We start from the raw sequence: 24,316 nt of genomic DNA on the forward strand, positions 1-24,316 counted from the left end.
TTTCATGATACAAAAATTACAAACAATGCTATTAACTGTCTCATATGAAAAATGAGATGTAGCTCATTCACACTGCGAATTCTCTCTCCTATTCTATCTTATATTTGATAATAGTGTGATTTCCAATTATTTCCTTGATTCATTTTGAAATAATAATATACCTAACTCTCACTTCTTCTTTCATCAATTTTGCATAGTAGCTTAATTCTCCTCTGTGTAAGTTGATCAGAGTTTCCTGGGTGCAATTTACTCCATCTCTTCTCACCTCCAATTAATACCATTTTTTCCCAATTTCCTATTGTGGTAAAAATACATACCCCCGGCCAGGCACAGTGGCTCACGCCTGTAATCCCAGCACTTTGGGAGACCAAGGTGGGCAGATCACGAGGTCAGGAGATGGAGACCATCCTGGCTAACACGGTGAAAACCCGTCTCTACTAAAAATACAAAAAGATTAGCTGGGTGTAGTGGCAGGTGCCTGTAGTCCCAGCTTATCGGGAGGCTGAGGCAGGAGAATGGCTTGAACCTGGGAGGCAGAGCTTGCAGTGAGATTGGGCCACTGTACTCCAGCCTGGGTGACAGAGGGAGACTCTGTCTCCAAAAAAAAAAAAAAAACCCAAAACAAAAACATACCCCCAAATTGACCATCTTAACATTTTTACATGTGGTGTTTGGTGATAATAAATACATTCATAATGTCATAACAGTCACCCCAATCTACCTCCAGAATTCTTCTTTATCTTGTAAAACTGAGATTCTAGATCATTAAATAGTAACTCCCCATTTCCTCCTACCCACTGTCCCTGACCATCACCATTCTACTTTCTGTCTTTATGAATTTGAGACCCTAGGTACCTCATATGTAAGTGAAATCATACAGTGTTGGTTTTTCTGTTGCTGCCTTATTTCACATAGCCTAATGTTCTGAAGGTTCATTCATATTGTAACAAATGTCAGAACTTTGTTTTTAAGGCTAAAATTCCATTATGAGTGTATACCACATTTTGTTTATCCATTTATCATTTATTGGTTAGTTGTGTGGCTTCCACATTTTAGATATTGTGAACAATGCTTCTATGAATGTGGGTGTATAAATAAATCTTTGAGACCCTGCATTCAATTATTTTAGGTACGTACCCATAGATGGAATTTCTGGATCATATGGTAACTCCACTTCTAATTTGTGCAGAACTTTCATGCAGCTTTCCTCAGTAGCTGTACCAATTGAAATTCTCAACGACAGATCACAGGGTTCTAATTATTCTACATCCCTGCAAACACTTGTTATTTTCTGTTTGTTTGTTTGTTTGTTTTGATGGGAATCATTCTAATGGGTATGAGGCGCACTACGTCACTATAGTTTTCGGCATCATCTTCTTTCATCCTATTGTTGGGGCTAAGTCACAGTCAGTTTTCTTCATCAGATATTACATGAGGTATAAAGATCAAAAATCCAGTTAGCTTCTTCCACTTCATTTAGACTCACCCACCATTTTCAGTGAAATTATATTCTCTATTAAAAAAAGAAAAAGACACAGTTCATTTGTCTTCACCTTTATTGAAATACAAAATGTTAAGCATTCAATCTGTACTAGTAAAGGTGTTTCTTGAAGTTGATAAAGGAGGGCTGGGCTGCTTGTGGTTTCCTGCTGGGGAGAGAAAGAACAGAAGGTCAAGATGGTTACCCCTTGCTGCCTTCATCCCATCCCTCATCATGATTCTTCTTCCATCCTCTTCCATTTGCTCTTGACACTTCCCTTGACTTCCATCTGTGATCTGTTAATCTTTTCACTGAAATGTGATCTTTGTAAAACCTAAAACCTAAGTAAAATTATGTTACTTCTCTTTTCTAAAGCACTAGAAAGGCTTCTTGTCTCAGTGAGACAGTAATTTTTAAAGGTTTACCATGTGATAACCAAGAACCATGAGATCTGGCTTCCCACTGCTTCTCCTAATTTGTCTCTGCCATTTTCCCCACTCATGTTCTCTTTTGGTCACACTGTCTCATTGCAGTTCTTTAAACATGTTTAGTGCATTGCTATCCCAGGGCATTTGCACTGGCTGTATTCTGTGCTGGGACACTTTTCCTGCATAAGAACCATATGGTTCACTTTCCAACTCTGTCCATTCTTTGTTCTCATTTCATTATTTCAAGGAAGTCTTTCCTGAGTGAAATATCTATAGGAGTACAGCATCCATCATTTTGTGTGTTCCTTTATCATCATTTATTTTTCCTCTTAGCCTTTTATTTTATTTTATTTTTTGTGTTTCGGCTTGTGATATATTTACCTATTTGTGTATTCAGAGAATGCTTCTCCTCACTAGTATATAAACTTTCTGAGTGTAAGGAATCTATCTACTTTGTTAATTGGCATACTCCAATTAGAACAGAACCTGGTGCATGGTTAATGTTGCAAATGTTAGTCAAACAAACAACTCAATGCCCAAATATAGCCCCATTGGATGGATTAGGCACTGAAAGCTGTTATGCTGAAATGATACAATATTGTGACTGGAGTGTAGTGTCAGAAACCAAGAGTAAAAGATGATGTGGCAAATATTGGAAGTATTGAGATAACCTTTACACAGTTGAGTATAGAATATAATTTTAATTATGTATCTGAGATGGAGATTAATAATAGGATTATAATATAGCGTTAAATGAAGATGCTATGAGTGAAGAATGTAGTCATTTGGTCCAGATTGAATGTACCCAATCTATAACATTTTTATCAAAAGAACGAAAATAAAAGTATATCTATTAACACGAGAGCTTGAAGGAACTTCTGGAAAGGGTTGAGGGTCTGAAAACAGTCTCTCAGTGATTTGTGATCTGCATTATGAGAACATTCTGAGAACGAGAGACTGGATCAACACAAACTCTACACTGTAGGGTTTATTTTCTACTGTCTGATAAGGGTACCTGAACACCAGTAATGTGGTATTTGCTGTGAAATCCTCACTCAGAAAATCAAAGTACTGCTTTCTGCAGAGTTAGTGCCTCTGTTTTCTCATTTTTGTTCAGATTGATGCAATGTTTGGTAACTCAGTATGTGTTTGTGTGTGTGTGTGTGTGTGTGTGTAAGAAAAGGAGAGAAAAAGGTAGAGTATGAGATGTAAATGAATATAAATAGTAATGGATGCAGGAGTATGTTTCTATTTTAATAAGTGCTACCCTGGGTTTTTTATTATCTCATTTGGCCTTGGTTTTCCTTACGTCCTTGATTGATTGATTGCCTGATTAATTATAGAGTTGGGGGAACCCAAATGCAAAAAAAATCGAATAAAAGATAACAGATAATCAATCACCAGACTACATCAACAAAGTACACTAATTTGGCCATCCAAGTACTCAACTGTCATTGGTCATCGGAACTCACCTCCAATATCACACTTTCATTTATTTCATACACCACCAACAACTCTCAATGCTTAACCATTTTCAATTGCCAGGAAAGAGGTAGAAATATCTTGTCATGGACACTCGTTCTATGGTGGGCATTTGGACTGTTGCCTCCGGACTTTCAAATGCTTGCTGAACCTGAAAAAGAAAGTAGGCTATAGATGAGATACGACTCTTTTCAAGTCTCAGAAAGCATCTTCCACCATGAACCAGGAAAGTCCTGGAATGAAGAGAGTTTGCAGGTTTCATAGGACCAAGCCCATGGGTATTCTGTCTTCTCAACGTTGTACACTACCTCTTAGAATTGACACTCCATGTCAGACTGTACCCTTTACATCAAGATAAATACCTCATGTCTAATCCAAAGCCTTTCAACATTCATTTCCTCTGTTTTCCATTTCTGACCTACAGATCAGACAATCAGTTATCCCTTGGAAATTGTTCATGAGACCAGGATAGGGAATGGCTCTATACTTACAACTCCCACCAAGACTGATTCCTCCACTGAATGAGAATTAAGTCTCATTACCTTAACTTTGAGACTTGAACACTGAACAACTTTCACTTCACCACCAAGCTGATCTTGTAGTCTTTTGGATGAACCAATTGATGAGATGCTGAGATGCTACTTACCCTAAATCCAGAATTTTTAGCTCTTTTTTCTAAGAATACCCTTGAAAGTACAATGTCTAATTCCTAATTATCCTAAAAAAATTATCTTCTTAGGTCTCTATTCACAGAAACTCTGTCTCAATTTATGCTGCAATCTTCTCATACTCCTTCTTTTTTCTTTTTTTATTTTTTGAGATAGGGTCTCATTCTGTCACCTGCCCTGGAGTGCAGTGGCATGATCTCCACTCACTGCAACCTTGTCTTCCATTGCTAAAGCAATCCTCTCACCTTAGCTCCCAAATAGCTGGGATTACAGGCACCTGCCATCACGCCCACCAAAATTTTGTATTTTATGTAGAGACGGGGTATCTCCATGTTGCCCAGGCTGGTCTCAAATTCCTGGACTCAAGCAATTGGCCCTCTTCGGCCTCTCAAACTGCTGGGGTTGCAGGTATGAGCCGCGGCGCCAGTCCTGGATGGCTTTCTTCTTTAAATGCCAGAATAAAGGTGTATTCTTCTTTTCCCACAGGAGTCATACTGTTCTCTACAGGTTTTACTTTATAAACAACCACACTATACTGTGTTAATACCAATCCTGTTTTCTCTTTAAAAAATAGAATATATTTAGATTAAATAGAATAGATTCTCTCTTTATTCATTTATGCATCTATTTATTCAAAGATTAATTGAATATTTACTGTATGCCAGGTTTGTTGGGGTGCTGAGCAAATCCCCATCATCCTGAAGTTTTCATGTTAGAAAGTAAATATGGGTAAAATAACAGACAAATACGTAAACTATTAATATATGCCGAGTGCAGGAAGGTAAGAACTATGGAGAAAAATAACATAGGAAGAAGTGGGAATAAGGAATGTCCCAAATTGGGCAAGGAGGAGCAAGCCTTTCCTTCTGCAATTCTCCATTGAAAGATCGACTTCTTTATTCCCTCTCACATTCCTTTATGGATCGTATCACAGTCTGTAAACACTTATTTGTTGATTAACCCACATTTTCAGTATCTGTATCTCCCACGAAAATGTGAGTCCTAGATAGGCTAACGGCATGCATGCCTCATGTACCCCTCTGTCACCAGGATGGACCCAATGACCTAGTAGACCACCCAGTTTTTATTCATTTCATAAATGAAGTAATAAAAATTATTTCAAAATATTTTTCATTCTCTAAAACTTAAGAACTTATAGCCTAATACGTAAAGATTATGGTTGACATTATTTTGTTTTACTTTGATCTCCTGGAACTGTTTTTCCCTAAAGCATATTTTAAACACTTGAATGACAGAAACTAGGTATCTCTCAACCTTCACTTGACTGACAAAGATTGTAATTGCGAAGTGAAAGGTGAATCATGACAAATTCTTCTTGAACAAATGAGTGAATGACTAGAAAAGAAAGAGACACTGACCTTCCAAAATACTTCCTCTAGGTGGCAGCGCCAGGAATATCTCTGGAAGCATGCGATGAGTTGTGTGATGAAGATGGAGCCCCTTGTGCTGTCTCTCCTGGACACGTTATCTATGATGATACAGATGGGTATGCCTTGGGCTATGACCTTCACTATTTTTTGTTTACATTTTTGTTTTGAGGATTTTTTTTTAATAAAAGCATAGCTTGGGAATTATCTTTACAGATTTAGACGACATGTTTACAACCTTACATTTAACCACTTTCCGCATAAAGTCAACAAAAAACCTAGCAACAGTTGATCAAAAGGTGCAGTTTGTAAGCATTGCAAGAGATTGTGTAGTGATTGTATTTTGATTCTTGGGACTGACTTTCTACTACAAACATTGTGTTTATTCTCTTGGCTTTTATAGGGGCTTGAGAAATAACTGGAATTATCCCACTTTACAGAGGAAGGAATAGAGGCTCCAAAAGATGAAGAAACTCCCTCATATTACCACAGTGAGTAAGCAACAAAAAATGGCCACTAGGCTCCCAAGTTGTTTGCAGATTATGCCATGCTGTCTTTCACCATATAATAAACAAAATAGATGAACACACACCAAGTTTCAGTGATAGAAGATGAAAAAAGTGATAAAAATCTACTGTACAGGATGGTGCCAATAGTAACCAATACTGTATTGTAAACTTAAAATATGCTAAGAGGGTAGATTTTATGTTAAGTGTTATTTTCACATGCACTCGTGGAATTATAATAATAAACAGAGAAGTGGAAGGATCTTTTGGAGGAGAGAGATATATTTGTGGCACAGATTGTGGTGACGATTTCAGGAGTGCATACTTATCTGTAACTCATTAAGTTGTATACATTATATATGTAACATTATATATGTCAATCATACCTCAGTAAACTGGTTTTAAAAAATAAGACTTAAAAATATACAAATTAAAAATGGTTAAATGTATACTCCTTAAGATAATTACCTAGAAGTGAAATACTAACCAGTGTTCCCCAAGATTAGACGTAATGAGTCCCACCCTATCATCTTCTACTTGTTTTAAAGGGTATCCACAGTTCTAGTAGGGCATGCAATGGCACTGCTCATAGTGGAATCAGATGGGAAATATGGAGAATAAGACTTGAAATTGATCATTTGAGAAAGGGAAGCCATTCCTGGAATCCATGAAAACACTACACAAAACATTAAATGGGTTTGATAAATAACAGAATCCATCATTTGTGTTTAAATGGTGTGTGGTGAATGGGATTCCTTATGTTGTGTTGCTTTAATATTTGGTATGCCTTTGGCTTTAAATTGTAACACTTATAAGAAAAGTACAATTTTTAAAAACGTGGGTGTGGGAGGGGGAAGGAATCTGTTTTCACATCACATCTAAGATCATGTAAAATATGGGAGAGCACACAACATTCCCTCGGATCATTGTTTCTTAGGGATTCTTGATTTGGTAGAATCATTCAAAGGTAGCCTCAGGCCCACAAATCACTTAATACCACCAAAAGACGTATACATGAGGTTGAAGAGCAGAAAACAATGAAGTCCTTCTCTGGTATGTCTTGCAAACTGCATCCTCCAGGTTCTTAGGTGACTGTGAAGACATGACTCCCAAAGATGCTGGACAGTCTCTGACCCACTGTTCCCCATGGTTTGCTGCAGAGACAACAATTTTCTACACACTACTGTGCCTCCTACAGTATGGCTATCAGAATCCCCTTGTTCTTTTTTAATGTTCTTTCTAACTAGTTTCATACACATAGACCCATACACATACAAACACACAGACACACACACACAAACACACACACACACACACATACATACCACTTTGTTTTCTCTCAAGTGTCATTCAACAGTGTGCCTAGTGATAATGAAATCATCTTGTAGTTACCAGTTTTTAGAAAAATTATTTCTGTTTTCTCTTTCATTTGAAAAATAGCTCCCAAGAGCTATGAATCAATTGGTCTCAAAATCCTGGCTTCAAGTGTTCCTTCAGCTTTGGCCTGAAGGAAAGCAGCCCATCTGGGTTTGCCTCATCATGTTCAGTTCCACACATTCCCCCCAGGATGCCATGAGACATGAGCACCAAGAACGTGCTGTCGGAGGACTTGTGCTCTGGTCAGGCAGCAAATGCCCACAGCAATGACTTCATATTCTGGAAAAGAGCAATGTCTAACTTTAGTCGGAGAAGCATCACAATTAATGGGGCCTCCTAGATTTACCATGAGCGAAACAAGAAACATATGTAACATCTGGGTCATGGCGCTTCACATAGTGCTTACTCAGTGATGACAGCTGTTTTATGGTTTCATATTTCCTTCTTAATGGGGCTATGGGTTGCCATTTTCTTCTCTGGCTGACACACCGTCTTCTTTATATATTGTATATTTTTATATGTTACTCATTTCCCTTTTTCTTTTCCATCTCAATCTTTCTCCTTACCTACCAAGAGTCATGTGTTATAAATGCATCACACCACTTTCTTTGTAAAACCCATCCCAGTTTGCTTAGAATCAAATCAAACTTCTGGTCTGACCATACTCCACCCACATACTATGTCCCTTCTCCTCCAAACTTGAGTCATACTGGTCTTCTCTTTGTGCTTCTCATGTGCCAGTTTCATTTTCAGCTCAGCTCTTTCACAGGTAGCTTCTCGTACTTTGAAGGCACTGCATTCATGTCTCTCCAAGGTTGTCTCCTTCTGGTAGTCCAGTCCAACCCCTGTGTTATCTCCCCACGGAGGCTTTTTCAGCCAACCCAAGAACATTTTTCCTTACCCTACAATTCTCTGTCATGTTTCCTTTTTCTTTTTTCTTACTCTTGGCTTTCTTGTCACTCTTATGTAGACACACATATATGCACACCTGTTCTCTGAAGCTGTCCGTTTTGCTTATAACTTCACTGTTTCTCTCTACTGTAACCTAGATGGATGCCGACTGGGAACTTCCTGTCTCATTTACAGACCTACTCCCAATGCTAGGAATAGCTTTGGTCACCAATTTAGTACTCAATATTTGTTTTAAGACTGTACTCCTGTTTAACACTTATTACTATATAATTTTATGGAGAATCTTGGGGCTGCATCCCAATCACCAGACTTTGAATCTCAATCAGAAATGTGAAAACTCGTGCCAATCATATTTTGTCTAGTTTTATGGAATTGAGGACATTTGGAGCAAAAAAGAGACATAAATTTACCAATCTAATGCTTTCATTTTTTGCATCACACACACACACACACACACACACACACACACACACACAAGGTAGCAGAGATTGTTAAACTTTGTTGAGCTTCTATAAAGCTAACTAGTTATTAGAAGGATGCGTGTTCAATATGTATGAGTTTGGGGTGGCTGAGGGGTTGTTACCCTGGCTGTCAGATTCTCTTCTACATCCACACTGTAACCCAGATCCTCAAGCAGCTTCTTCATCTCCATGATGGCAAAGTCAGCCCCATTTCTTGGAGGCAGATGGTCAAACTCTTTATTGCATATGATGAGAACCAGGCGTATGCGGTCCTTTCTCTCCTTTATTGGATAGATCTGCAGGAGGTGGAGATGCAGTGAATTTAATTTATTCAGGTTTCTTTTCTACCCCCTTATGCCTATCAATGTTGCTTTTTTAAGTCTTCATGCAGCTGCTCTCTGCTGTAACTTGTATCAAAAGACATTGACTTCTTCTTTCTCAAGAACCCAGAGAAAGACAACGACATATCTGGAATGGTTATTCAATACTCTTGAGGAAACTAAAATAATGGCTACCCCTTTTCTCATCCCTTTTTTTCTACACCTACGCAAATCTTTCCTAGTATTTAAGATTCGGGTCAAATTTCATTAAAATCAAGAGATGTGGTCATTGGCTCCAGTAAAAAATGAATATAGCAAAGGTCTTTGCCTTTGGAAGCATAGTTATTTTGATACCATTTTTAACACATCAACTTGTAATGTTTTTCAAGCCTTAATTATATTTTCAAGTATCCTTCATGTCTAGACTTTTCAACTAGAGTGCAAACAGTTACTACTCAGCTGTATTATCTTATAAACATTTTTATTCCATGGCTAAAGTTACAATTGTCATAAATTCCAAATGATTACAAAAATAAATACTTGAGCCATAGGAAAACCAATTCTCTTTCAACCCATGATAAAATGATCTAGATCATGGGTTGAGAGAGAATTGGTGTCTGTGTGAAGTCACATAATCTTTTCCTCGCTGAAAACATTCATGAAATAGTTACTGCCATCCCCACCCCCAATCATTTAGTGCTGTAAAAAATGGTGCACTTAATGAAAGCAACGATTTCTCTTCTTTTTTTCTGTTTCATGCAGACAGTATAACACCTTTTCAGCTCTTTCTTTACATAGTCTCAGGAGTTATTCATGAGGGCAAAGCTTGAGGGCATCTGTAGATTCTCTTGCCTCAGGTGGTCCAACCTCCATATTCGAATGAGGTGGAGAATATTACATAATATAAGTTGTGATTTCTGCTTCTGTGACCCAATTTATCACCTAAGAAGATCGAGAGAGAAGATGTCCTGGGAAGAAGATTTCGTCACATGTAGGGGTTATAGTTATATCTCATATCTAGGAGATATTCTATATCGGGAGATGCATTGTTACTGGAAAAGAGAGAAAAGCAGATCCACCCAAAAATGCAATCATAGATTCTGATCATTCTGGGAAAAATATTTTGACGATGTTGGTGTTAAATTTGGCCTTTCCTTATACAGTCAAAAGAATTTGATTTTTCCAAATGTTTTACTCTAGGATAAAGGTTTTACTCATTTATTCATGTGGACTTTCTATTGTGTCTGTGCAAGAGTATACTGAGTAAGTAGTTGTCAGAGCGCTATCTACTACAAATTTAATGTGTGTTCCATTTCCAATACTCAATTTTTTACTATCGCATTTAAAAAGGAAAACTAAACAAATAAATTTAATTTTTATTACATATTTATTTAATATAACATATAGGAGGTATTATTTCAACATGTTTCATTAGCCACAAGCCAAGTGCTTCATAGCTACATGTTGCGAGTGGCTACCATACAGGATGGACAGCATTCCGTTTTGGATTAATAGTCCCCTCCTAACCCCCACTACACCTGCCGATCCATATATCTACCAATCCAAAGAATATTGAATCTTGTACATTCCAGGAATTATATTTTCAACAACCTTACTCTAAATTTTTAATGATTCTAAAAGAAGTGAACTTCTATTATCCCTATGCAAATTGTAAAGCCAACTATTTAATGGAAAAATGCTGCCTTGTAACCATAATGGTGTGTCCAAAAAGTTACCTAATATAAACTAACTTAATAAAAGGTTATATGTCCCACCCACTTATTATAAATAAAAAATGAATGCATATAATGCAATATAAATCATCATTATCATTATTATTTGCAAGTCACTGTACCAATGATTTTATAAATGTTAATATAGTAGACCCTCACAATCAGCCATTGGGATGGTTATTACATTCCCTATAGTATATTTATTATGTTATTATATATATTATATATTGTATTGTTATGATATATAATATTTTATCAATAATATATTATAACATATCACATTATATCTAATACATATTATATATTTATATATTATATTTAACTTAACAATTTTCTTTATATAACACATTAGGATTCACATCTTGTTTTTTTCACCATATTCTATATTGTTAAACATGACATGGCTTCAGTTGAAATAATTAATATATTTGAGCCTCCATCATGCCCAGTGCATTACTGAAATTTCACAAAAAAATTCATTTGAAATGTATATTAACTTATCTTACATGGAAATGGGAAGGTAGTAAGTAATTGATTCAAATAACATGAAAAGAACTAAGAATATATAGTATATGCGGAACAAGAATTGTAATGTAGGGGTTGAGAATCCAGAGCTCCCATTCTTAATTCATCAAGCTACATTGCCTGACTGTTGGTGAAGAGCTTCTTAAGAGAATGCAGACAAGATATTCAAGGGGCTCAGAAAAGATTAATACATTCCCACAGGTAAGATCACAAAGGCTTCTTAGAAGAGGTAGCAAAAATATTGGTTTTGCAATATCAGGTACAGATGTTGGAACAAAATATGAAGATTTGCAAACAGTAAGCAGATTAGTTTGTGGGATATCCAATCTGCCTGAGTTCTGGGTTTCTGTTCTATTTATTTGTGTGCTCAGTAAACTAATATAGTGTTGATTGAAAGAATGATATGTGAAGAAATATGATAATTAAAAATATGGAAGAGTTTACAGCACAACAAATGCCACATGTAGCAAACACACAGCTAACATCATACTCAAAGGTGAAAAGTTGAAAATCTTTTCTCCAACATCAGGAAGAAGACAAAGATACTCATGTTAACCACTTCTATTCAACATAGTACTGCTAGTCCTAGCCAAAGCAATTCGACAACAAAAAGAAATAAAAGGCATCAAAATTGGAAAGGAAGAGGTTTAATTCTGCCTGTTTAAAAAGAAATGGTTTTATATAGAGAAAACCTTAAAGGCTCCACCAAAAATTTTTTAGAACAAATAAACAAATTCAGTAAAATTGAAGAATACAAAATCAACATATAAAAATCTGTAGTGTTTCTATATAACAATAAACTATCTTTAAAAAATATAAGAACTTCCATTTAAAATAGCTACAAAAATAATTAGAAATACATTTAACAACGTGGGTGAAAAACATGCGCACTTAAAAATATAAAACTCGAAAGTTATCAACATAGTAAGACTCTGTCTCTACAAAAGAATTTAAAAAATTGGCTGGGCATGGTAGCAGGTGTCTATAGTCCTTGCTACTTGGAAGTCTGATGTGGGAGGATTGCTTAAGCCCAGGAGTTTGAGGTTACAGTGAGCTATAATTGTGACACTGCACTCTAGCCTTGGCTACAGAAAAATACCCTGTCTCAAAATTAACAACAATAACAAAAACCCCAAAACTATAAAACATTGATAGAAGAAATTGAAGAAGACACAAATAAATAGATATTTTGAGTTGATGTACTGCAAAAATTACCATTATTAACAAGTCCCTAATACCCAAAGAAATCTAAATATATAATGCAATCCCTATCAAAATTACAGTGGCACTTGTTATAAAAATAAAAACAAATCCTAAAATTTATATGAAATCACAAAAAACCATGAATAGACAAAGCAATCTTGAGTAAAGGGAAGAAAGCTGCAGACATCAACTACCTGACTTAAAAAAAAAATATATATATATATATATAGTACAAAGCTACAGTAAGTAAAATAGCACAAGAGTGGCATAGAAACAGACATAGACAGCAATGGAACAGGACAGCAAGCCCAAAAATAAACCCAATTATTTACATTCATTTAGACTTTTCTACAAAGGTTTCATAAACACACAATGAGGAAAGGACAAACTCTTCAATAAGTGATATTGGGAAAATTGGATAACCACATACAAAAGAATGAAATTGGATGCTTATGTCTCACCATACACAAAAATAAACTTAAAATGGGTTAACTATGTAAATGTAAGAATTGAAACTATTAGAAGAAAACAGAGGAGAATAGCTTCATGACGTTAGTCTAGACAATGATTTCTGGATATGATGCAGAAGTACAGGAAGCAAAAGCTAAAATACACAAATGAAATTAAATTACATCAAACTAAAAAAAGTTTTTTTGTTTTGTTTTGTTTTGTTTTTTGTTTTTTTGATACAGTGTCTTGCTCTGTCACCCAGGCTGGAGTGCAGTAGCACAGTCTCGGCTCACTGCAACCTCCATGTCCAGGGTTCAAGCGATTCTCTTGCCTCAGCCTCTGAAGCATATGAGACTACAGGCGCCTGCCACCTTGCCTGGCTAATTTTTGTATTTTTAGTAGAGACGGGGTTTCACCATGTTGGCCAGACTAGTCTTGAACCTCAGATGATCCGCCAGCCTCAGCCTCCCAAAGTGCTGGGATTACAGGTGTGAGCCGCTGTGTCCGGCCCAAACTAAAAAGCTTTTACGCAGCCAAAGAAACATCAAAAGATTAAAGAGATATCAACAGAATTGGGAAATTATTTGCAAACCATGCATCTGATAAGGAGTTAATATGGAAAATATAAGGAACACAAACAATTAATAGAAAACAAACTGATTTAAAAATAAAGGACCAGAAGAGCCATTTTTCAGAAGAAGATATAGAAACAATATGTATATGAAAAATGATCAGCCTCTGTAATCACCAGGAAAATTGAAACCACAATGTGATATCACTTCACACCTTTTAGAATGGCTACTATCAAAAAGACAAAAGATAACAAATGTTGGAGAGGTTATGGATAAAATAAACCCTTATACACTGTTGGTAAAATGCAATTTAGCATGGTCATTATGGAAAACTATACGGAGACTCCTCAGGAAGTTAAAAATAGAGCTAAACATATGATCCAGCAATCCCACTATTAAGCAGGTATTAAAAAAAATGGAAATCCGTGTTTCAAAGAGATATCTGAACTTCTATTTTCATTGCAGCATTATTCACAATAGCCAAGATCCAAAATCAATCTAAGTGTCTGTAGATGGACGAACAGATAAAGAAAATGTGGTTTATATACACAATGCAACATTATTCAGCTTTTAAAAGGAACTAAATCCTGTCATTTCTGACAGTATTGATGCACATGACGGACATTATGTTAAGTGAAATAAGCCAGACCAGGCAGCAAAAGACAAACACCACATGATCTCACTCGAATGTAGAATCTAAAAAAGTTAAACTTGTAAAAGCAGAAGGTAGAATGGTGGGTACCAGGGGAAGGTAGGGAGTTTGGGAGATGTAGGTAAAATTAAACAAAATTTCAATTAGATAAGAAGAATAAGTTAAAGAGATATATTGTGCAACAGGGTGACTTAAGTTAATAACAATGTATTGTATTCTTGACAATTATTTAAGAGAGTAAAATTTAAGTGTTCTAATCACAAAAAGATAAACATATGAGATAATCCATATGCTGATTAGATGAATTCAGGCATTCCAGAATATATACATACTGCAAAACATTATGTTATACATGGAAAATATATATACTCTTCATTTGTCAAAAACATAAAGAACTTATAATTTTAAAAAAATGTGGTCTGAGATCCTCATTTTATAATCTATACATTCTCATGCCATCAATTATAAGTTTAAAATAATAAATAAATCACTCTCAAATTTATAGATTGGACCTAGATGTAGATCTCGCTATTGAAACCCATACATGTGATAGACAATAAGACATCTCTTAACTATATCCCACAACCTCATTCAACTCAACTTTTACAGATGAACTGCTCATTTATTCATTTCCAGCATTCATTCCCTTTTCCATTTACTGGTAAATGCCTATACTCCAACTACAAGAAAGCAGCAAATCCTGCTGATATTAAACCTCTTCAGCCTTCCTTATGTCTTATTTCCAGTCTCAATTCACATTGCATTGATTTTATTTGCTAAACATTTTCAGATTCTGACCACTTCCCTCAATTCTAATTGTTCATTACTTCTATCCAGGCCAACATCCTTTCTTTCTTAATAAATAAGTTGATAAGAACCTTGTAAACTGATTTTCCTTTCTATTCTATTCTTCACAATGAAGAGTGTTCCAATATCTATATTTGACCATGAAACCTCTCAGCTCATTCTAATCTAGGCCTACTCATTCACCCTCATCTTCTGATACTGTTCTGACCTTGTGCCTTATATTCAAAACACTCTGCCCTTCATTTAATTTCTAGAAATCCTCTACATTGGGATCTCTGTATTTCTAGACCCCACCTTCTCATTCCTTCTTGTTTGTCTACTACTGTCTGTGTATCCTTCAAGTCTCAGATTAGACAGCACTTTTTTCATGGAATCCTGTCTGATTTTCTGAGGAGAGACAGTGTCAGAGTCACATGCCCACAGGGCATGTTGCTTCTCCTTAGGATAGCATATCTTTTTCCCTTTATTTGTGATTCCCAGCCTACTTTTCAGTATTCACTACTAGATTTTATGCTCTGTGAGGACAGGGACCATGATCTATGCCTGTGCTAATTTTGGCATTCGAGGGATATTTATTAATTATATTCTAAATCACCAGTCAAGCGAATGTAGGAAGAAATGAAAAAAAAAAATTAGGTGTGGCTCAACCCTTGTGGAATACTGTTTTCTATTAACAGCAAACCAGGTAAGTTCAATTACATTTAACAGACAAAAAGTGCACATTGGAAGTTTCAAGCAGAGGGAAGTCATATTCATTCTCCTATTCATTCAGGATTATTTAAGGAGCAGCAGCTCTTGAAACTGCTAGTATTGGGAGTACCATTTTGGAAACATGCTTACAGTCAAGAGGAAAGATTGACATGCAAATAAGTATAATGAAACACCTTTTAAGAATTTAAATATTGAGCAGATGCTCAAGAAAAGCATAAGCAAAGTGTGTCTCAGGTAGACGATAGCTGTCCAGATGAGGGATGGCTTGGCACTGAGACCTGAAGAACTGGTAGGAATTTGCCCCTTGGACAACTGGCGGCTGGTCTCCTGTCAAGGAGCAGTGTGAGAAGAAGCAAAAAGGCTTGAGGGTGTCTGATGTAACCAGAAAGTTAGGAGAGCTTGGCTTTAGAAGGAAAAGAAGTGTGCATCCGAGGCTGAAGTGGCAGTGATCAGAGACAGGGCAGGTATTTGAAGATATTTTCACAACCTCAGCATCACCCCACAACCTCAGCGGATATTTTCAGAAAATTAGAGTAGTGGCAGAGTTTGAGAGTCATGCCGACCTGAGATCACTCCTCTCAACTGACTTTTGACCTAAAGCATGCTCTGAAGGCATTCTCTCAGAATCCCCTTCAACTATAATATGGCAATAATAGCACAACTGTATTGCTTGGTTTAAAATATTAAATCAGAGAGACTGCATGAAATAGCTGTCATATGGTAAGTATTTTTTAAAGAAACCATTATTATATGTATTTTTTTGTTATTGTAATAATCACTGAATGAAAGCTGCAGTGATAGTAAAAATGGAGAGAATCAATTAGAGGAAACAACTCACCAGCACCACAGTTTTGATTCCAGGCAGTGATGTAATGCTTAAACACTTTAAAGGATACTCTTCCTCAGAAGTTTTAGTTAACAATAGCTGACTAAAGTTGGTTGTTTATAATTATCAAACCACAACTTGTTTTTGACTACTGGCTTTCAATTTCTACTGTCTATTTTTTAATGCCTTGATTCAAATCCAATGACCTGTAACATCAGCCTGCTTGGCTGAAGAGGTAGCCATGTTTATGAATTTGACTAACTGATGCCTAGCCAAATGCTTTATTAGTTTCATGAAGAAGACAAGTGAAGAAAACCACCAACCTCTATATTTTGGGAGCTTAAGTTAAATATTGTGAGGTGAAACATAAACCCCAGAGAGAATTATACTACAGGGAGAATCAAAGGAGAAAATAAACTCAACGACGAGGAAGTAGGAGTGAAGTAAATACAGTAATTGTTTTATGAAGCTGAAATCATACTTTACAGGGATTAATGGAAAAAAATGGATACACATATTTCAAAAGGTAGAAAAACTTGACTGAAAAATCATATTTTTAAAAACGCAATAGGGAGCAACCATATGTTCCTGAGCAAAAAGAATTACATTAATAGATCACTAGCAGGTAAGCAGAGACAGGTAACTAACTGACTGACTTTCCTAATAATACTAATCTGCAGAAAAACCTATTCCAGATCAGCTTTATAGGGATTATCTGCAGATATACAGAAATTAATAAATGTCTGCAGGCTATTTAAGATTGATCTATTCAGGGTAAGGAAATGGGTAGTCATCTAATTTTTTTTATGTGACTACACATTACTGTGATATAAGGTTTAGAATCCACTGATCTAGTCCCATTTATTTTTCAGTGAGGAGAATGAAGCCAAAGAAGCGATATGACCTGCTGGAATACTATCTGTCTAAATAGCTCATGACTCTATCCCTTAGGCTTTTTCAGCTTCTATGTATAAGACAGGAGACCTGAAAGTTGTGTGCAGGAAGAATTGGAAGGTTAAGTCCTGGAGAGAGGGAGATCAATTAACAACAAAACAAAATAAAACAACTGTGATAGCAACCAGTGAAATATTGCAGTAACGTAGTCAGTACAAGGACTAAAGAGAAAGGGAGAAAAATGGAATAACTTTAAACAGACCAAGAATGTAATTCACAATAAGAGATGGCAAAGAGGGTGACGACAACTCAGAAGCTCTCATATCTGATTCTGGGAGAAAGGTTTATAATCTGGGCAATAATTTGGAAACAATAGAAAACAGAGAAAATTTCAGAGTGCATTTGGAAACTTCTAGAATTTTCTCACACAAATAATAACTTCCTCTGCTTTCTTCACTCTCCCTTTGATTACCAGAAGCTGAAAGCAGGGAATTAACTTCTTTCTAGCTAGAAGACATCTGGAGAACATATTCTCTCCTTCAGTGTCTAATACTAGCTCCCGTGATTCAAACTACACACAACCAGTAAGAAAAAAGATTCAGCATGCACTCTATTGGCCCATTTCATGTTTTGTGTTCATTACACAGCAATAAATAAAGTATTTTCTAAGATCCCAGTCCCAAACTCCTATTCAGAAGAGGACTCACCTGCCATAGATAACAGCCTCCGTCCTTTCTTACAGCACTGAAAAAAGGCTCAGACTGAAAAATGAAAGTAAACTGTGTATGTACTTATTGCAAAGAATGGAAATATGTAATCACAGATTGAGAGACTGCTGCTTAGAAATTCTAGGCTCATTGTCAAGAAATTCCTTGTCATCAGCAAATTGGCATCCAAGTACTGGACTCTAGTTTCTTCCCGTGGGAAGAAACAAAGAATGGAAACGACCAACATTGTTATGTGCGTTGACACTTCAGCCTGTTTTTTTCCCTCCTTTTCCTTTTCCTGCTCTGTAGTCCCCACACCTTCTTCTATCCATCTGTCTCCTCTTTTTGATCGCTCAGTTTTTGTTTCTCTAATCACATAAAAACACAAATTCTGAAGGAGTTTAATCTAACAAGCCTCCTTTTATTTCCTCATAAGAATTAACCAGATAGTTTATATTTCCTGTTTAAACTGTGTTATTGGATCCTGAAGGTGCCTTCGCTTTTCTGTCTCATTGTTGTCTTAACCTTTGGTGGAAATAGTGCTGAAGAAACCCTCTTCTCTACTCCATGGCATGCTTTCCTTTAGCTACCTAATATGGCCATAATATTTAATTTTTACCAAAAGTGAAAGTTTACCTCTGCTTTTTGATATTCCCTGAACAAAGGCTGATTGTAGAAGCAGTCTCAGGCTGTAGTACAATTAATGTGTGATTGTACAAAAGAGAGATGCCCAGAAGAATAGTTAGTAAAAGGAGAAAGTAAAAGACAGTGAGGTGTTGAACTTTGAAAGTTTTCAAGAGGTCAGAAATTCATCTTACCTTTTTTGAGTTTAGGATTAGAAGAGGCTCATGATTACAACCCAACTGGTTGTTCTTCCAGTCCTTCAAAATCTTCACAGCACTGAGTGACTGATTTGACCCTAAACTCTTTTTCCTTGCACAATGCAGGTGATGCAGGTGCATAATTTTGCATTCAGTGCACTGTAGTGTTTCTTCATAGTTGTATGTTCTGTCTGCTAATACTTTTATGTTTGTTGACTGTCATACCTTCTCAAGGAGACTGAGCTATTAGGGATGAAAGCGTTAATCAAAATTTACTTTGTATTTCTCAATTCTCTTAGCTAAAGGTACAAATATGCAGATCTTGTTCATGGATTTTTCAATAGTAAGCTCTGGGATTTGGGAAAAAAGATCCCCTTTGCACACCATTCTGTCACTGTCATAACTGCCTTTCTTCTCCCCATCTCTCCTGCTAAGTTCTAAATTCTTTGAAGTCGGGTACCTGCTGTAATTTATATCTGTGTTCCTAAAGGAGAAAGCCCAGAAAATGGTTTATTAAAGAAAAAAAATGGTGCTATTAGCCAGTTCAGGTCTTATGAGTCAAGTCTAAAGACTAAATCCATAACCTTTTCTACATTCAGCTCCTGTTTTTTCAATGGGGTGAAAAACAACAACAAAAACAGGACACCCTTTTGTTTTTATATCAGACTTAATGGAATGCTTAAGTAAATGTTTGTTTTTTTAACAGACATGACTCTAAAAACAGGTGCACAATGAGGGAATTCCTGACTTCCTATGAGAAAAAAATAAACATTTAAAAAATGGCCCCACTAAAAGATATGCAAGTTATAAAGTCACACCACCAGTGGTAATATACACACTCTGAAAAGGAAAGTGTCCACGCTGTGTGTAAATATTCCCCTGCTGAAATTAGAGAGAAACACCTAAAAGTGAGCATTCATAATCTTATGGTCACCTCAAAAATAATCAACTGACCCACAGAAAGAGGGCACTAAGAACAGAACTTTGAGAGAAGAGCAATGTACACTGCACTGATCAGAAGGAAAATATTCCTTCAGTATTCACTGTTTATTATATTACAGGTAGAGTACTGCTATTCCAAAATGCTGAGAACAAAAAGTGTTTTGGATTTCAGAACTTTCTGAATTTTGGAATATCCACATTATAATTACCAGGTGATCATCCCAAATCCAAAAACCTGAAATCTGAAATTCTTCAATAAGCATTTTCTTTTTTTTAAAGAGGAAAATGGTTATTTATTGTTGTTGTTATTATTATTATTATTATTATTATTATTATACTTTAAGTTCTAGGGTACATGTGCACAACGTGCAGGCTTGATATATAGGTATATATGTGCCATGTTGGTTTGCTGCACCCATCAACTCTTCATTTACATTAGGTATTTCTCCTAATGCTATCCCTCCCCCAGCCCTCCACCTCCTGACAGGCCCCAGTGTGTGATGTTCCCTGCTCTGTGTGCAAGTGTTCTCATTGTTCAGTTGCCACCTATAAGTGAGAACATACGGTGTTTGGTTTTCTGTCCTTGTGATAGTTTGCTCAGAATGATGGTTTCCAGCTTAATCCATGTCCCTGCAAAGGCCACGAACCCATCATTTTTTATGGCTGCATAGTATTCCATGGTGTATACGTGCAACATTTTCTTAATCCAGTCTATCATTGATGGACATTTGGGTTGGTTCCAAGTCTTTGCTATTGTGAATAGTGCCACAATAAACATACGTGTGCATGTGTCTTTACAGTAACATGATACATAATCCTTTGGGTATACACCTGGTAAGGGGATTGCTGAGTCAAATGGTATTTCTAGTTCTAGATCCTTGAGGAATCGCCACACTGTCTTCCACAATGGTTGAACTAATTTACACTCCCACCAACAGTGTAAAAGTGTTCCTATTTCTCCACATACTCTCCAGCATCTGTTGTTTCCTGACGTTTTAATGATCACCATTCTAATTGGTGTGAGATGGTATCTCAAAGGGGTTTTGATTTGCATTTCTCTGATGATCAGTGATGATAAGCATTTTATGTTGTGTCTGTTGGCTGCAATAAACGGCTTCTTTTGAGAAGTGTCTGCTCATATCTTTAGCCCACTTTTTGATGGGTTTTTTTTTTCCTTGTTAATTTGTTTGAGTTCTTTGTAGATTCTGGATATTAGCCCTTTGTCAGATGGGTAGATTGCAAAAATTTTCTCCCATTCTATAGGTTGCCTGTTTACTCTGATGGTAGTTTATTTTGCCATGCAGAAGCTCTTTAGTTTAATTAGATCCCATTTGTCTATTTCGGCTTTCATTGCTATTGCTTTTGGTGTTTTAGTCATGAAGTCCTTGCCCTTGACTATGTCCTGAATGGTATTGCCTAGGTTTTCTTCTAGGGTTTTAATGGTTTTAGGACTAACATTAAATCTTTAATCCATCTTGAATTAATTTTTGTATAAGGTGTAAGGAAGAGATCCAGTTTCAGTTTTCTACATATGGCTAGCCAGTTTTCCCAGCACCATTTATTAAATAGGGAATCCTTTCCCCATTTCTTGTTTCTGTCAGGTTTGTCAAAGATCAGATGGTTATAGATGTGTGGTATTATTTCTGAGGGCTCTGTTCTGTTCCATCGGTGTATATATCTGTTTTGATACCAGAACCGTGCTGTTTTGGTTACTGTAGCCTTGTAGGATACTTTGAAATCAGGTAGCGTGATGCCTCCAGCTTTGTTCTTTTTGCTTAGGATTTTCTTGGCAATGTGGAATCTTTTTTAGTTCCATATGAACTTTAAAGTAGTTTTTTCCAATTCCGTGAAGAAAGTCATTGGTAGTTTAATGGGGATTGCATTGAATCTATAAATTATCTTGGGCAGTATGGCCATTTTCATGATATGGATTCTTCCTATCCATGAGCGTGGAATGTTCTTCCATTTGTTTGTGTCCTCTTTTATTTCGTTGAGCAGCTCCTTCACTTGAAGGAAGGTCCTTCACTTCCCTTGTAAGTTGGATCCCTAGGTATTTTATTCTCTTTGTAGCAATTGTGAATGGGAGTTCACTCATGATTTGGCTCTCTGTTTGTCTCTTATTGGTGTATAGGAATGCTTGTGATTTTTGCACATTGATTTTGTATCCTGAGACTTCGCTGAAGTTGCTTATCAGCTTAAGGAGATTTTGGGCTGAGACGATGAGGTTTCTAAATATACAATCATGTCATCTGAAAACAGAGACAATTTGACTTCCTCTTTTCCTAATTGAATACCTTTATTTCCTTCTCTTGCCTGATTGCCCTGGCCAGAACTTCCAACACTATGTTGAATAGTAGTGGTGAGAGAGGGCATCCCTGTCTTGTGCCAGTTTTCAAAGGGAATGCTTCCAGTTTTTGCCCATTCAGTATGATATTGGCTGTGGGTTTGTCATAAACAGCTCTTATTATTTTGAGATGTGTTCTATCAATACCTAGTTTATTCAGAGTTTTTAGCATGAAGGGGTGTTGAATTTTGTTGAAGGCCTTTTCTGCATCTATTGAGATAATCATGTGGTTTCTGTCAGTAGTTCTGTTTATGTGATGGATTACGTTTATTGATTTGCATGTGTTGAACTAGCCTTGCATCCCAGGGATGAAGCCGATTGAACATAGTGGATAAGCTTTTTGACGTGCTGCTGGATTCGTTTTGCCAGTATTTTACTGAGGATTTTCGCATCGATGTACATCAGGGATATTGGTCTAAAATTATCTTTTTTTGTTGTGTCTCTCCCAGGCTTTGGTATTAGGATGATGCTGGCCTCATAAAATGAGGTAGGGAGGATTCCCCCTTTTTCTATTGATTGGAAATTTTCAGAAGGAATAGTACCAGCTCCTCTTTGTACCTCTGGTAGAATTCGGCTGTGAATCTGTCTGGTCCTGGACTTTTTTTGGTTGGTAGGCTATTAATTATTGCCTCAATTTCAGAACCTGTTATTGGTCTATTCAGAGATTCAACTTCTTCCTGGTTTGGTCTTGGGAGGGTGTATGTGTCCAGGAATTTATCCATTTCTTCTAGATTTTCTAGTTTATTTGCATAGAGGTGTTTATAGTATTCTCTGATGGTAGTTTGTATTTCTGTGGGATCGGTGGTGATATCCCCTTTATCATTTTTTATTGCGTCTATTTGATTATTCTCTCCTTTCTTCTTTATTAGTCTTGCTAGTGGTCTATCAATTTGGTTGATCTTTTCAAAAAACCAGATCCTGGATTCAGTGATTTTTTGAAGGTTTTTTTTCTGTCTCTATCTCTTTCAGTTCTGCTCTGATCTTAGTTATTTCTTGCCTTCTGCTAGCTTTTGAATTTGTTGCTTCTCTAGTTCTTTTAATTGTGATGTTAGTGTGTTGATTTTAGATCTTTCCTGTTTTCTCTGTGGGCATTTAGTGCTATAAATTTCTCTCTATACACTGCTTTAAATGTGTCCCAGAGATTCTGGTACATTGTGTCTTTGTTCTCATTGGTTTCAAAGAGTGTCTTTATTTCTGCCTTCATTTAGTTATTTACCCAGTAGTCATTCAGGAGCAGGTTTTCAGTTTTTATGTGGTTGTGCAGTTTTGAGTGAACTTCTTAATCCTAAGATCTATTTTGATTACACTGTGGTCTGAGAGACAGTTTATTGCAATTTCTGTTCTTTTACATTTGCTGAGGAGTGCTTTACTTCCAATTATGTGGTCAATTTTAGAATAAGTGTGACGTAGTACTGAGAAGAATGTATATTCTGTTGATTTGGGGTGGAGAGTTCCATAGATGTCTATTAGGTCCACTTGGTGTAGAGCTGAGTTCAAGTCCTGGATATCCTTGTTAACCTTCTGTCTTGTTGATCTGTCTAATATTGACAGTGGGGTGTTAAAGTCTCCCATTATTATTGTGTGGGAGTCTAAGTCTCTTTGTAGGTCTCTAAGGACTTGCTTTTTGAATCTGGGTGCTCCTGTATTGGGTGCATATATATTTACAGTAGTTAACTCTTCTTGTTGAATTGATCCCTTTACCATTATGTAATGGCCTTCTTTGTCTCTTTTGATCTTTGTTTGTTTAAAGTCTGTTTTATCAGAGACTAGGATTGCAAACCCTGCTTTTTTTTTTTTTTTTTTTTTTTTTTTTTTGGCTTTCCATTTGCTTGGTAGATCTTCTTCCATTCCTTTATTTTGAGACTATGTGTGTCTCTGCACATGAGATGGGTCTCCTGAATACAGCACACTGATGGGTCTTGACTCTTTATCCAATTTGCCAGTCTGTGTCTTTTAATTGGGCCATTCAGCCCATTTACATTTAAGGTTAATATCGTTATGTGTGAATTTGATCCTGTCATTATGATGTTAGCTGGCTATTTTGCCCATTAATTGATGCAGTTGCTTCATAGTATCAATGGTCTTTACAATTTGGCATGTTTTTGCA

At 36.4% G+C, this 24,316-nt stretch overlaps 1 pseudogene across 2 annotated transcripts; it reads right to left on the reverse strand.

Moving 5' to 3' along the window:
* Window positions 1,539-18,165, reverse strand: CASP4LP (caspase 4 like, pseudogene; annotated as a pseudogene). 2 transcript variants are annotated; one of them, NR_034079.1, is made up of 5 exons: window positions 18,103-18,165; window positions 8,825-8,998; window positions 5,438-5,547; window positions 3,381-3,541; window positions 1,539-1,646 (listed from the first exon to the last, which is right to left on the reverse strand). The product of NR_034079.1 is annotated as a caspase 4 like, pseudogene, transcript variant 2 (transcript). The 2 variants fall into 2 exon arrangements; NR_034078.1 differs by having other exon boundaries at window positions 1,539-1,649.
* Window positions 18,166-24,316: the final 6,151 nt, after the last annotated feature.

The sequence above is a fragment of the Homo sapiens genome, chromosome 11 (genome assembly GCF_000001405.40).
Source record: "Homo sapiens chromosome 11, GRCh38.p14 Primary Assembly".
In the NCBI taxonomy this organism is placed as follows: domain Eukaryota; kingdom Metazoa; phylum Chordata; class Mammalia; order Primates; family Hominidae; genus Homo; species Homo sapiens.